This window comes from Homo sapiens, chromosome 8 (assembly GCF_000001405.40).
Source record: "Homo sapiens chromosome 8, GRCh38.p14 Primary Assembly".
Taxonomy (NCBI): Eukaryota; Metazoa; Chordata; class Mammalia; order Primates; family Hominidae; genus Homo; species Homo sapiens.
This window is the reverse complement of record NC_000008.11, coordinates 86,415,480-86,430,149: the sequence shown is the minus strand read 5'-3', so window position 1 is coordinate 86,430,149 and position 14,670 is coordinate 86,415,480. Positions and strand designations below refer to the sequence as shown.

The following is a 14,670-nucleotide window of genomic DNA, read 5'->3' as shown; positions in this document are numbered from 1 at the left end:
AGCTCACAGCAGCCTCTGCTTCCCGGGCTCAAGCAATCCTCCCACCTCAGCAACAACCGAGTAGCTAGGACTACAGATATGCGCCACCACACCCGGCTAATATTTGTATTTTTTGTAGAGACAAGGTTTTGCCATGTTTCTGAGGCTGGTCTCGAACTCCTAGGCTCAAGCGATCCACCCGCCTCAGCCTCCCACAGTGCTGGGATTACAGGTGTAAGCCACCGCTCCCAGCCAAGACACTAAGTTCATAAAATGTCACGAAGAGGAGACTATCAACTATCAAATTAATTATTAGTTTTTCGAAAATGATTTAAAAATAATACACTGGCATCAATACTTTACTCTCCCAGTCCTTCCATACTAATCTATAGAGGGAAGATGAAATGGGAGAAGAACATATAGGAAATTATGATGTTTAAATGAGGCAATATTATTTGTTTAAAAATAGAACAGTTATCACAATTTTCTTTAAAACAAATGCCCACTAATAAAACTAACACTCAACTCCAGTATCATTTATAGAAATAAACTTTTAATTAGTATCTTTTATATTTTCATACATACATAAAAACACATTTTTATGTATGCCTCCATTCTTATAACCTAGAAATATATTCTGAAGAAAATATAAGTATTCTATCAAGAATTCTATAATAATGACAAATATAAAAATCATTACCTGAAAAATAATTTCTTAAAGTATATGCATCTTGATGAATATAATCTTGTAACAGACCCAGTTAATTATACTCAATATTTATCTTCCACCTGTTCTTGAGAACCAAAACCCTGTTTTGTTGGAGGTAGAAACGTGGCCATAAAGATCATTCCATTCCCCCTTCCCTGCAGCTGAGTTGGTAGAGTGACCAATTCTGGCCAATGAGGTATAGGCAGAAGGCCATGGTGAGGGCATCCTTCGCTAAGTAAAAAAGGCAAGGGCTTGCAACAACAGAGCCATCTGCCCTTTCAATTCCTCTTTCTCTTTCTTCTTGCCTAGACTATGGATGTGAGGCCCATAGTGCAGAGTATATAAACGAAGTAACAGGCCTGAAGTGCGATATGGATGGCAGAGCAAAAGGGCAGAAAGAACCCGGGTCCTTGATGACACTACTGAGTCAATGCAGCACTTACACTTTTACCCCAGACTTGATGTTGTACTGAGATAATTAAACCTCAATGTGTTTAAGGAGATTCTATTACTTGCAAGATAACATTCTTCTGATACACATCTGTTACCTCATTCTGCCCTGTTCACCAAAGGTTTTCATGTGTACAGATAAGTCCAACCAAAAACAAAGCTATATGTATTACTTTTTATGGATGTATATAGCTATATATATTACTATATATACCACACGGTATAATTACTATATACAGCTAAATTATGGAACCTTACCACAGATTTCTGTACAAGTCATGGAAGAACCAGCAACTGAAGGCAGCAGGAAACGCTATGGAAACTAGGCTGCCCACTCCCTCCCTGCTAGCTACATATAACCAGGAGAGTAGGTCAACCTGCAAATGAGAACTTACTATTTAACCTCTGAAAAAAATGTGGTTGAAAGAGCCAGACTGCAGCAGGATTTTGGAGAAAGTTACTTACATTTTCTTTCTATGTCTCTTTCCTACTTCCTTTCTATCTGCTAGCTTCTATATTTTAGGTTTCTTCAAGTTGCCTCAAAACACTATCTGTAGTTGTCCAGTACTTAAAATTTATCTTTTCTACCTCCTATGATCACACCATTTATCAGAGGAGTTTTGTTTTGTTTTTTCCACTCCTCTCACGGATGTTTGCTTATGGCAATAAGTAAATCACCAATTGGTCAAATTTTCAGACAGCATTAGATTTTTTGGATAAAACTTTCGAGTTCTAGAAATATCTTTGATGGAGCAAAACAGATGAGTGTTGCTTCTTAGAATCTGGGAAGAGAATCAGAATAGGTAGCATACTGCAAGACTGGCTCTAAGTAAAATAATAAAGTAACTGGTTTTGTTGAAAGCAAACAAAATTTATAAAAGTGGAAGATTGAAAATTAGTAAAAATATTATTTTGTTAAGAAATGCATTTATGAAACTACCCCGTAGGATATAAAACTTAATGTATAAGTTATGTTAGTAAACTAGAATATTTTAAAATATTATAAAGTACTTATATATATCAGAAACACTATTTATTAAAGATTAACTAAAAAATATCTTGTAACACAGTCTATACCATTTCTGAAAATCACCAAAATAGATATGTGATTATGGTCAAGGGATAGCAAAAAAAAAAAAGAAAGAAACACCTGAGGGAGGAAGTTATGTTAACATCTTACAATTTGCTAATTACCGAATAGAGGTATCGTTGGTTAAACTGTTGCATAGCTCCCTGCAATTGGTTCCGCTGAGATTGCCACTGTTCAAAATTTCGGACAGATTCCATGGTAGGCCGCTGCCACGTTGTTGTTCTGGTGTTATGATCCACATAATAAACTCTTCTACGATCATCAACTCTTCTTTCCCAACTACCACAAGTAAACAATAATAAACAATAATCTCTCAATATAAGAAAATGAAAAGCAGTTATTACTTCACTCAATTTAAATATCAAGTTCAAGACATGTTAAAATAACTAAAACATATAAAACTATGAACTATTTATTTTACCTAAATTACCTTCCCATTCTACCACTAATATCTTTTTTTTCCTTTAATCACTGTAATGTTTAGTCCTGCACTACAAGAGTTTGCTTATTTTCTTTTTTTTTTAATTTTACTTTAAGTTCTGGGATACATGTGTAGAACGTGCAGGTTTGTTACACAGGTATACATGTGCCATGGTCGTTTGCTGCAGCTATCAACACATCATCTAGGTTTTAAGCCCCTTACGGGGAGGGAAAGCATTAGCCCTAATATAATTTCTAAAGACTGTCTAAAAAGAGGCCACTGAATGAACAGTTTTAGTATCATCTGGCTATCCTTTCTCCCTCTTTTTTTTTTTTTTGAGATGGCGTTTCGCTCTTGTCACCCAGGCTGAAGTGCAATGGTGTGATCTTGGCTCACTGCAACCTCTGCCTCCCAGGTTCAAGTGATTTTCCTGCCTCAGCCTCCTGGGTAGCTGGGATTACAGGCGCAGACCACCATGCCCAGCTAATTTTTTGTATTTTTAGTAAAGATGGGGGTTTCACCACGTTGGCCAGGATGGTCTCGAACTCCTGACCTCAGGTGATCCTCCCACCTCTTGGCCTCCCAAAGTGTGGGGATTACAGGCATGAGCCACCATGCCCGGCCTCTCCTTCTTTCTTTGATAAGCATTTACTGACAGTGCTTGCTGTATACCAAGCAATCTGCTCTATAGCCAATGCCCATGTTCAGAATGAGTTAACTGAACTCTTTTTATTACTTTTTTAACTCACCTTCCTGCCATTATATTGCTGCCAATTTTCTTCCTGAAACACAGGTGGACTCCATGTCATTCCACCCATGATGGCTCACTGGCATGGCATAAAAATGAATTGTCCACATTTTCAGCCTCATTTCCCTGAGATCCTACAAGGGCCTCATGTGAGAGTCTAACCAACTATTTGCTGGTTCCAAGGGTGTCATGAGTGAATTTTGTTTCCCCTTTGCCTCACAGAATACCCTTCCCTATTTCTCTACCAACCAGAATTCTACTCATCCTCCAGGATTCACTCCAACTCCCACCTGTTCTACACATGTAGGATCTATTAAACCAATTTTTGTCATTAATTTATAAAATGATTGTAAACTCCTTTCAGCAACCAATTATAAATTCCTTAAACTTATTACTAAAAATACAATGGGGTCACAAAGAGAATAATAGACGCTAAAGATGAAATTAAAGACAACCTCTGCCTAATTTTTGGACAACAGTTTCAGTGAAATAAACCCCAAGTCATGGCACTCAATGAATGGACTAAATGAATGACTATAACTTGATGATCTTGTCATAGTTAAAATGAACTTCATGGTTTGCTATATTGCAATATCGGCACCATGTTTTCCAATACGTTCTCATTTAACACTGTAGGGTCAAGGCCTGAGTGCTTTATTCCATAAAAGAGAAATATCCCATAAAAATAACATTTCTCTGCCTTGAATTTTCTAGATTTTGAATGTGTTTTAAAATGGTGGGCTTTAAATTGAATCTGGAAGGGAAATCTGAGTATGTAAGAAATATATTCCAGGTACACATAGAATGTGTGAGTAAATGAATGCAAACAGTACAATTCGACTAGCTATCAGTGCAGTTATGTAGACAGTTATGAAAGAATACAAAGGTAAAGGAAGACTCGTTTGTGAATGGCCTTGAATGACAGCCTAATAGCATGAATTTTAGTATGTAATAAAAACTTTATTAATTTAAAACCTTCTACAATTTTAGGTATAAGTTCACTCATGGCAATCTTTGTAGATCATAGTTTTGGGCCTTTAAGTCATTAAATCATTTGGGCCTTTAAGTCATTTAATATTTAAGTCATTAAATCTTATGAAATAACATAGTTTAGATCACTATCCATGGAGAACCATACATATAAACTGTCCTAAATACTACCTTTCTTTCCTTAAAAAAATTACAAAGAAGGACTGACAACTGACCAAATTTTGCAACTTCTCTCAGTAACTCATGCCAATGCTTGACAGTCTCTTGAGGAAGCCCTACAGATTATCTAATCTCATTGACTGAACATTCATTATTTATATAAGGAAATGTAAAGAAATTGAATATATGCAGAATGAAAGAATCAAATTACGCTGTACTAAATAAATTTAAAAACCACATGTGTGATAAAATATAATTACAAATGCATAAAGAGTGCTATATTACCCTGGAGGTAAAGGTTGTGGTCTCTCCCATGTGGTAGTTCGAGTATTATGATCCACATAATAGGTTCTACCATGAGGATCTTTTCTTTGTTCCCACCTTTAATAAAAATACAAAAATAACAGTAAGAGACAACACACTAGGACAATCTTAAAAATGACTCTTCCTTATAATCAGAAAAATTACAGATAAGCTTTACATTAAAAGACTATACACACACACAGCTATATATATAAAGGCTATTATATATATATACAGAAGTGTTCATTTTCTCAATTATTAGTACTTTTTTAACCTCTTAATTATTCCCTTTTTATTACAGTATTGGAAACTCAAAGTATAGTTAGCAGAAAAGGAAGAGAATACCCCACATTTTAAAAAGTTACTTACAGAATTCCAAATTATCAGAAAACAGAAATTGAATCAAGAATTAAGAAACCTCTCCCTCTCCCCTCCCCTCCCCCTCCCCCTCCCCTCCCCTCCCCCTCCCTCTCCCTCTCCCCACAGTCTCCCTCTCCCTCTCTTTCCACGCTCTCCCTCTGATGCCAAGCCGAAGCTGGACTGTACCGCTGCCATCTCGGCTCACTGCAACCTCCCTGCCTGATTCTCCCGCCTCAGCCTGCCGAGTGCCTGCGATTGCAGTCGTGCGCCGCCATGCCTGACTGGTTTTCGTATTTTTTTGGTGGAGACGGGGTTTCACTGTGTTGGCCGGGCTGGTCTCCAGCTCCTAACGGCGAGTGATCTGCCAGCCTCAGCCTCCCGAGGTGCCGGGATTGCAGACGGAGTCTCGTTCACTCAGTGCTCAATGGTGCCCAGGCTGGAGTGCAGTGGCGTGATCTCGGCTAGCTACAACCTCCACCTCCCAGCCGCCTGCCTTGGCCTCCCAAAGTGCCGAGATTGCAGCCTCTGCCCGGCCGCCACCCCGTCTGGGAAGTGAGGAGCGTCTCTGCCTGGCCGCCCATCGTCTGGGATGTGAGGAGCCCCTCTGCCCGGCTGCCCAGTCTGGGAAGTGAGGAGCGCCTCTTCCCGGCCGCCATCCTGTCCAGGAAGTGAGGAGTGTCTCTGCCTGGCCGCCCATCGTCTGAGATGTGGGGAGCGCCTCTGCCCCGCCGCCCCGTCTGGGATGTGAGGAGCGCCTCTGCCGAGCCGTGACCCAGTCTGGGAGGTGAGGAGTGTCTCTGCCCGGCCGCCCCATCTGAGAAGTGAGGAGCCCCTCTGCCTGGCAGCCGCCCCATCTGAGAAGTGAGGAGCCCCTCCGCCCGGCAGCCGCCCCGTCTGGGAAGTGAGGAGCGTCTCCGCCCGGCAGCTGCCCCGTCCGGGAGGGAGGTGGGGGGCAGCCCCATAAGCGCTAACTTAAGTTAGCGCTTATGGGGGCAGCCCCCGCCCGGCCAGCCGCCCCATCTGGGAGGGAGGTGGGGGGCAGCCCCCGCCCGGCCAGCCGCCCCGTCCGGGAGGGAGGTGGGGGGCGCCTCTGCCCAGCCGCCGCCCCGTCCGGGAGGTGGGGGGGGGGCGCCTCTGCCCGGCCGCCCCTTCTGGGAAGTGAGGAGCCCCTCTGCCCGGCCGCCACCCCGTCTGGGAAGTGTACCAAACAGCTCATTGAGAACGGGCCATGATGATGATGGCGGTTTTGTGGAATAGAAAAGGGGGAAATGTGGGGAAAAGATAGAGAAATCAGATTGTTGCTGTGTCTGTGTAGAAAGAAGTAGACATAGGAGACTCCATTTTGTTCTGTACTAAGAAAGACTCTTCTGCCTTGGGATGCTGTTGATCTATGACCTTGCCCCCAACCCTGTGCTCTCTGAAACATGTGCTGTGTCCACTCAGGGTTAAATGGATTAAGGGCAGTGCAAGATGTGCTTTGTTAAACAGATGCTTGAAGGCAGCATACTCCTTAAGAGTCATCACCACTCCCTAATCTCAAGTACCCAGGGACACAAACACTGTGGAAGGCCGCAGGGTCCTCTGCCTAGGAAAACCAGAGACCTTTGTTCACTTGTTTATCTGCTGACCTTCCCTCCACTATTGTCCTGTGACCCTGCCAAATCCCCCTCTGGGAGAAACACCCAAGAATGATCAATTAAAAAAATAAATAAATAAAATAAATAAATAAATAAAAATAAAAATTACCCTTTTTCTGACATTTGATATTTATCTAGGATTACAATAATTATGCTAATTAGTTCTAGTCTATTTTTGTCTGAATACATTTTAGGTATTCAATAAACACTAATTTTCAGTTTCCAAAAAAAAAAAAAAAATGAAGAAACCTTCAACTTAATATTAAATCCAAGGCACAAAGTGTCTATGAAATAATATACTGATTTTGCTATAATTTCAAAAGTACCCATCTAAAAGATTTTTAGCAGAAATCGCCTTAAAGAAATATGTGGTGATACTGCCCCATGAAAATTCTTTCATCTGTGTGCACAGTATCTTTTCATTGTGCATATCTATCCTAATTTTGGTTCTGGTTTTGGTAGGTCTCTGAATTTATGGAAATGACGTTTTTATCTTTTTCCTATTCTATTTTGAAGACTCTCAATCTCTTGTTTCTCCCATTCTCATTTTTTCTTCTGTGATTCCCGTTAATTTCTCTTTAGTCTTCTTAATATGGTAAAGAAGAATAATTTTTAAAAATAAAAACTGGTGGGCCGGGCGTGGTGGCTCACACCTGTAATCCCAGCACTTTGGGAGGCTAAGGAGGGTGAATCACCTGAGGTCAGGAGCTCAAGACCAGCCTGACCAACATGGAGAAACCCCATCTCTACTAAAAATCCCAAAGAAAAAAAAAAATTAGCCAGCCATGGTGGCACACACTCCTGTAATCCAAGCTACTCGGTATGCTGATGCACGATAACTGCTTGAACCCAGGAGGTAGAGGTTGCAGTGAGCCAAGATTGCACCGCACTCCAGCCTGGGTGACAGGGCAAGACTCTGTCTTAAAAATATAAAATAAAATATAAATAAATAAATAAATAAATAAATAAATAAATAAATAAATACAAACTGGTACTTCTGAGTTTAAGACACTAGTTTTCAATTTTAAAATACAATAACCAGAAAATATTTTCCTTTTTCTTAAACACAAGAACTCGAGAAGGCAGTGTTTCGGAAGCGACATGAGAGAGTATTCCTGGGGTGCTGACAATGTTCTCTTTCTTGACTTGTGTGATGGTTACAAATGTGTATTTTGTGATAAATCAGTTTCATCTATATATTTTGAAGGAAAGTACTTTTCTGTGTATGTGTGATGTTTCACAATAAAAGATTCTGTTTTTAAATGTGAGTGCTTATCAAGAAGCCCTAACTTGGAATGGTGAGTTTTGATAAGTTGTCCTGCACCAAGAGGGAGGCTCAAGGATCTCCCATAAAGAATCCAGCACTCTTTCCTTCTACCTCCCTTCCCCATCTGCAAAATTTTGAGAGAGGATCAAATAGCTTTTCCCGATTATTTGTTAATATGGTAAATTTATATTTTCAAAAAAAATTTTTTTTTTTTGAGATGGCGTCTCGCTCTGTCCCCCAGGCTGGAATGCAGTGGCGCAATCTTGGCTCATGTAAGCTCCGCCTCCCGGGTTCACACCATTCTCCTGTCTCAGCCTCCCAAGTAGCTGGGACTATAGGCGCCAGCCACCACGCCCAGCTAATTTTTTGTATTTTTAGTAGAGACGGGGTTTCACCGTGTTAGCCAGAATGGTCTCAAACTGCTGACCTCGTGATCCTTCCGCCTCGGCCTCCCAAAGTGCTGAGATTACAGGCGTGAGCCACCATGCCCGGCCTATTTTCAAATATTAAATCAATCTGGGAGAACCCCCCCAAAAAAGAACCCAATTAAATTTATTTTTTTATTAAGAGTGCTTATTTTCTTTAAATTATTTTTATACACGATAACCATATATACTGAAACTACTCCCTAGTTTGCACCCATAAACACATACATACTTAAAATGACAAATGCACACAAAAAATTTAAAAAATTGTTTAGCCTGCATCTAACAAACCTAAGTCACAAAATGCTTAAGTAGTAACCATAAAGATTCCCAAGTTCAGAACTGACTCGGGATCACAAAAATTATTAAACTTGCCTATTATATCCTACACTGGAACACTCATGATATTCAGTACTGTAAAAACTTAGATATTTCTTATAAAGCATTTCACTAAAATCAGACAATCTGAAAGTTATGATTTACTTTATTTGTTTATATAAAAAGCTCACGGGAAAGAAGGAGTTAAATATAAAATTTCATTTTAAAGGCCTGTCAGGAATATGTCTAACATGTAACAATGGGCTATTCTGTATGAAAGCTTAACTACCAAAACCAAATGAATACCTAAAAACCTGATCAAGTTTCACTTTTGCTATTTTTAGGTAATAATTCCCATAAGCAGTCCTTGAATTTTTATTGCTGTCCTACAGCAAAATTTCCTGGTTTCAACTGTTTCTTCACAAATATCCTTTACTATTTTTAATTTAGCTTTAATTTTTTATCAAAATTACATATACTTTCAGATAGTTTAAAATATACCTTCATAGCTATATAATTATATATACCTTCACATAAACAGAGTCATACAGTCTGTGAGACTTATTGCAAAAAACAACAGTACCTACTGTCTCTTTCACTTCATTTTCCACTCCCCAAGGCAACATTTTCAACTGTTTCAGTCCATTTTTTTGGTATTTACTTCTTTTACTTATTAACTTCCTTGACTTATTGTGATTTGTTTAATTTCAAACATAATGTATTGACTTTTTATTAGGAAAGGTGAAGCTGCAGGTCTCTTTCCTGCACACATACACATCTACACTTACCCTCCTCCCAACCATTCCAAATATACACATATGTTGTACCTTCCCTTACAGTTATCATTATGACTATGTAAACTCTCCCCACAGATGAGCCATGGAACATACCCCAATTTCTTTTTTTAAAAAATACTATTAGCTAGAAAAATTATCTCCACTTCCATTTGCTTATTGTCTACATTCTTATCGTTAAACCCCAAATACTTTTCCAGTTGCATAAATCTCCTCTTAAAACGTTCAAGCTCATTAGCTGTTCTATGATTGCACCTGCCTTCTGATTAGCTTCTAGTCTAGAGTGAGTGCTGTCTGAGGCCAGTTTGGGCTTTCCTTTATCATTGTGCGGCATTCCTTTCACTCCTCTCCTAGCAGACCCTCTAATTCCTGCCTCCAACGTCTTTTACTTTCACTACCCAGTTTTGGGAAAACACAAGTCCTAGTAGCTTTCTAAGAAAGAAGACATAAGAAGTGAACTTTTGGAAACCTAGGATATGCATAGAATGTATTTATTCTATGCAAACACTAAACAGTGTGGCTGGATACAGAATTATATGTTGGGCATAATTTCCTTCAGCATTTAAGGCATGGACCCACTCTCTTCCACTGTCTTCTAGCTTTTCGTGTTGATTCTAGGAAATCTGATGCCATTCTGATTATTATGAAACCTGCTTTTTCAATCGCTGAAAATATTTAGAATTTAATTGGCCCCAATGTACTAAAATTTTCACAACAAATTGTCTTAAAATAGATCTGTTTTCATTTATCATCCTGGATTTTTAGTGAGTCTTTTCAATGAAGAAATTTGTGTTTATTCTTCAATAAAGAAATTTGTGTTTGTTATTTTGTTAAGGACTTCCTCCCATTTTCTCTCTTTCTAGAACTTTTCTTATCAGACTGTCTGAACTGGTCCTTATGTGTTACTGTCTGGCAAATTTCTTTACCTTTATCAGTCAAATTTCACACTGAATTAAATTTCCAAGAGTTTTTTAGTCCTTTGAGTATTCCATTTTTATAGCATTGGGTTCTTGTTGTATGTATGTTGTATCTACTTTTATCCCTCAGAGGATATTAAAATAGTCTGTTATCTTTTGTTTTTTGAGATGGAATCTCGCTCTGTCACCCAAGCTGGACTGCAGTGGTGTGATCTCAGCTCACTGCAACCTCCGTCTCCCAGGTTCAAGCGATTCTTCTGCCTCAGCCTTCTGAGTAGCTGGGACTACAGGCGCGTGCCACCATGCCTGGCTAATTTTTGTATTTTTAGTAGAGACAGGGTTTTACCATATTGGCCAAGCTGGTCTTGAACTCCTGACCAAGTGATCTGCGTGCCCAGGCCTCCCAAAGTGCTGGGATTACAGACGGGAGCCACCGCGCCCAGCCCTAGTCTGATATCTTAAAACAGTATTTTCTAGGTTGTTTTTTTGATCTCTATCTTTCAAATTAAGAGGTTTCCCTCAGATATCTAATGAGAAGGGCACTGAAAACTGACTGGGAGTTTTATGTGCCTGGGTGGGGCTTGTGGATTGTGGATTAATTAAAGAGTGATAATAATGGGACTGTTTTGTTAGAGAACAATCTATATTAGTATTTTCAGTGTTTTGGAGAGGTCTTCAATAGAAGATACTGTTAGTCTCCTGGTTGAGGAGGTAAAATCCTGGTTGTCAATATTCTGGGATCTGTGTTGGGTGTGTATTTGAAAATTTACTTTACAACCTTCTTCACTTACTAACCTTTCAAAGGCTCACTTACGTCTGCTGATTTAGGACAGTATCTCTGACCTCCAATGTGCCTGGTGTTCCCAAGCGTCAAGTATCTCCAGTGAGAAAACCCCTAGGCAGAGCAGAAGTTCTGGCTGCAGGGAAGGGAATTAGGGTTTCTCAAACATTCAGTCCTGCCATTTACAGTGTCATCTTCACTACCACTTCCAAAGGCATCCAATGCTGCCAATGCATATTCTGAGCTTTTCCCACTGACAGGCCAGAATCCAGCTCTCTTGGGTTTGCTAAGTGAGGTGCACTTAACCATCCTCCAAATGACTGCAGCCCCCACCAACAGCTTGATGGCAACCTCATGAGAACCCCAAGTAGAAGCACCCAGCTAATGCACTTCCTGATTCTTGATGCTCAGAAACTGTGTGAGATAAATTCTGGGGTAATTTATTATATAGCAATAAATAATACACAAGGAAACGCTACAAACCATTCAAAAGAATTAAGGGAGACCTATATATTAGACCATACGCTCCACAAAGTTTGGGCCTTCAACTGTTTTGCAAATCAGTATACTAACAGCACCTAGCACAGAGCCTGCCACACAGACAAGGAGTTTAATAAATATTTGTCGATTAAATATTTGGTCAATGTGTGAATTTACTTGTACTGATGTGGAAATATGACTAAGTTTTTTTTTAAAAGCAACTGAAAAACTATATACAGTATGATTCTATTTATGAAAATATTTTATGCAAAATAATAATTTATATAGCTGCTCTCTAGCCTCTTCATCCACTTTTATCTTGTCTCATAGAACTTGTCACTATCGGACATTACTCAACGAGTTTTTTTACATAAGGCCACTGTTTGTCTTCCCACTGAAATACAAGCTTTACACAACAGGTGCTACACAACAGAGCCTTGAGCTCTCCTGCCCTGCTGCACATGCCTAGAACAAGGCTCTCAAATATTTGCTACTGGAATAATATATATAGACACCATTCTCAGTGGTGAGCTTAAGAACTATTAATATTTCTATATGACTTAAATATTGTATTTGGTCATGTCTTAATTTTGTAATCAGAAACAGTTTTAAAATTGGGGGAAAAAATAAACACAACCAAGCCCTCCATCCATACAATGGGCTATGAAGCCCTTTTCTGTTTTATCCTGAGTTAACTTCAAGTATTTCTAACTTACCATCTAACAAATATTCAGTAAGCACTTACGTTCCAAGCACAATGCTAGTCACTGATCTTTTAGATCACTTCCAGATTTCAGTGTGTTTGTTCTAAATAGAATTTGTCTTTCTCAAACTAAATTTCTTGCTACACAGAACATTATATTCAGAACTGCTTTCGGTTATCTTATTTCTAATTTTCTAAAGTGCATTTTCTAGAATGCACTTTATTAGATCTATAATGCACTAGATAAGGAGTAGGCAAATTTCTACAAAGAGCCAGACGGTAAATATCTTAGGCTTTGTGAACCAAAGGTATAATCAAGATGATTATGTAGGTACTTACATAAAAAGAGACTCCTGACCTGCTCCACCCTCTCTGCTTGTGCTGGGGCATCCCGGGTTGTGGGCATGTTGTGTACCCAGTTCCCGCTGCTGACAACATTCTCAGAACACAGAGTTCCTGGTCCACAAGGGAGCAGCCTGGCCAATTTCACTGTCTGCCCCAGGGACTCCTGAATCCCTGTGTGTGCCCTTCTCTCCTCCCCTGGCAGCTGGCCCAAGAGGTATCACCGTGCTGAGATGTCACTCCCAGGGTATGTGTCCAAGGCTTGGGACCTGGTAGCTACCAAAAGTGAGTCCCCAGAATGTGGTGGTGACCAGAGCAGGCCTTGGGCAGCAAGGGAGGAAGGTACTTTCAGGGGGAAGTGGTACAGGGGTAAAGGGGGCTGCTCTGGCTTTGTCTCCATGACTCACAGTGACAGCCTGCTAGAGCTGTACCTATAAAAGTGGTGGGCTGGATTTGGCCAGAGACCAGATAATCCCGTAGTGAAAATTCATGAACACCCCTCAACTAGGTGCAAATTACCAAATTACTGATTAATGAGAATTCTCAATAGAACTCTAATTTATAACTGCCACACTTCACCTTCAACCATAACCCTCTTCTACCTAGTGTTTAGGTATGGTCTCTCTGTCTCACTAAAACATTATATACAAATTTTCAAAACCTAGTACTGAACAAAGACTTTGCTTAAAAAAAAAAAAAGAAATGTGGAAGAATTTTGAAAAATACATTACAATAAAAATAATAAAATTTGGTGAACGACTGGGCAACTTCTGGCTTCAAACTTATATAACAGGGGTTGGCAGTAAGACTGCTTGCTGCCTTGTCATAACTACAATCCCAGAGTTAATCCTCTTTCTGTCTAGTATTGGCCAATCTCTCCCTCCACTGACCTACTGCATCAGCAGATCAACCTGTCAGTCTCTTCCATTTTACAAAACAATCTACCCCTCAGTTCTGTATGTCCTCTTGCTCACTTCTTTCAAACATTCCTCCTTCCCTTTGTCTTCACACAGAAAGAGTTTTCTACATTAGTTCACATGCTTCCAAAGAGTCCTCTATCACACTTCCTCCCCTCTCATTCACTCCCAACTCACAGCAATTTGAATACAGCTCTTATTATTTCCCTGAAACCACACTCTGTCATGGGTCAACAATAAATAAACTCTTTGTAATTAAGTTCAATGAGTGCCTTTCAGTTCTTATCTTCCTAGAATTTTTCAGTGGCTTTTGACCTTGTTAACCATTTCTTCCAGAGGCATTTACCAGCCAGAGCTTTTGCCCAATTGCTCAGTCATTCTAAATCATTTAATGTAGCACAAATTCACTTATTTAACAAATATTTATTGAGTGCCTGCTATACGGTAGGCATAGTTTTGAGCACGAAGAATATAGAAATAGACAAAATAAAATCTCCCTTCAGTCTAGTGGAGAGACAACAGATAATAACACTGTGTGTCACATAATTTAAGTGCTAGAAAAATAATAAAGGTTACATCATGCTGATTAGAAGAAGCCTACTCAAAAGAGTTCATACTCCATCTATAGTAAGTTCTACAGCAGGGAAAATTAATCTATAGTAGAAAAAATTAGAATATTGATTGCCTCAGAATCACAACTTTCTAGGGTGATATTAATGTTCTGTATCTCGATAAAGATTTGAGTTACACAGACATACGCATTTGCCAAAATTCATCATAATGGTACATTCAAGACTCGTGTTTTTCTTTCTTTGTCATCTTTATCTAAAAAAATTTTAAAACATATTGAATTCCAGTTAATGATTTGCAAGCTGAAGTG

General features: G+C 39.4%; 1 protein-coding gene across 10 annotated transcripts in view; it reads right to left on the bottom strand.

Moving 5' to 3' along the window:
• Nucleotides 1-14,670, bottom strand: part of WWP1 (WW domain containing E3 ubiquitin protein ligase 1) — a 125,957-nt gene that overhangs the window by 38,354 nt on the left and 72,933 nt on the right. For all 10 annotated transcript variants that reach the window (NM_007013.4, XM_024447056.2, XM_005250761.5 and 7 more), the window contains 2 exons: nucleotides 4,832-4,927; nucleotides 2,333-2,507 (listed from right to left, as the gene is read on the bottom strand). In NM_007013.4, the coding sequence (NP_008944.1) occupies nucleotides 2,333-2,507; nucleotides 4,832-4,927 (271 nt within the window). The remainder of the gene's footprint in view (nucleotides 1-2,332; nucleotides 2,508-4,831; nucleotides 4,928-14,670) is intronic.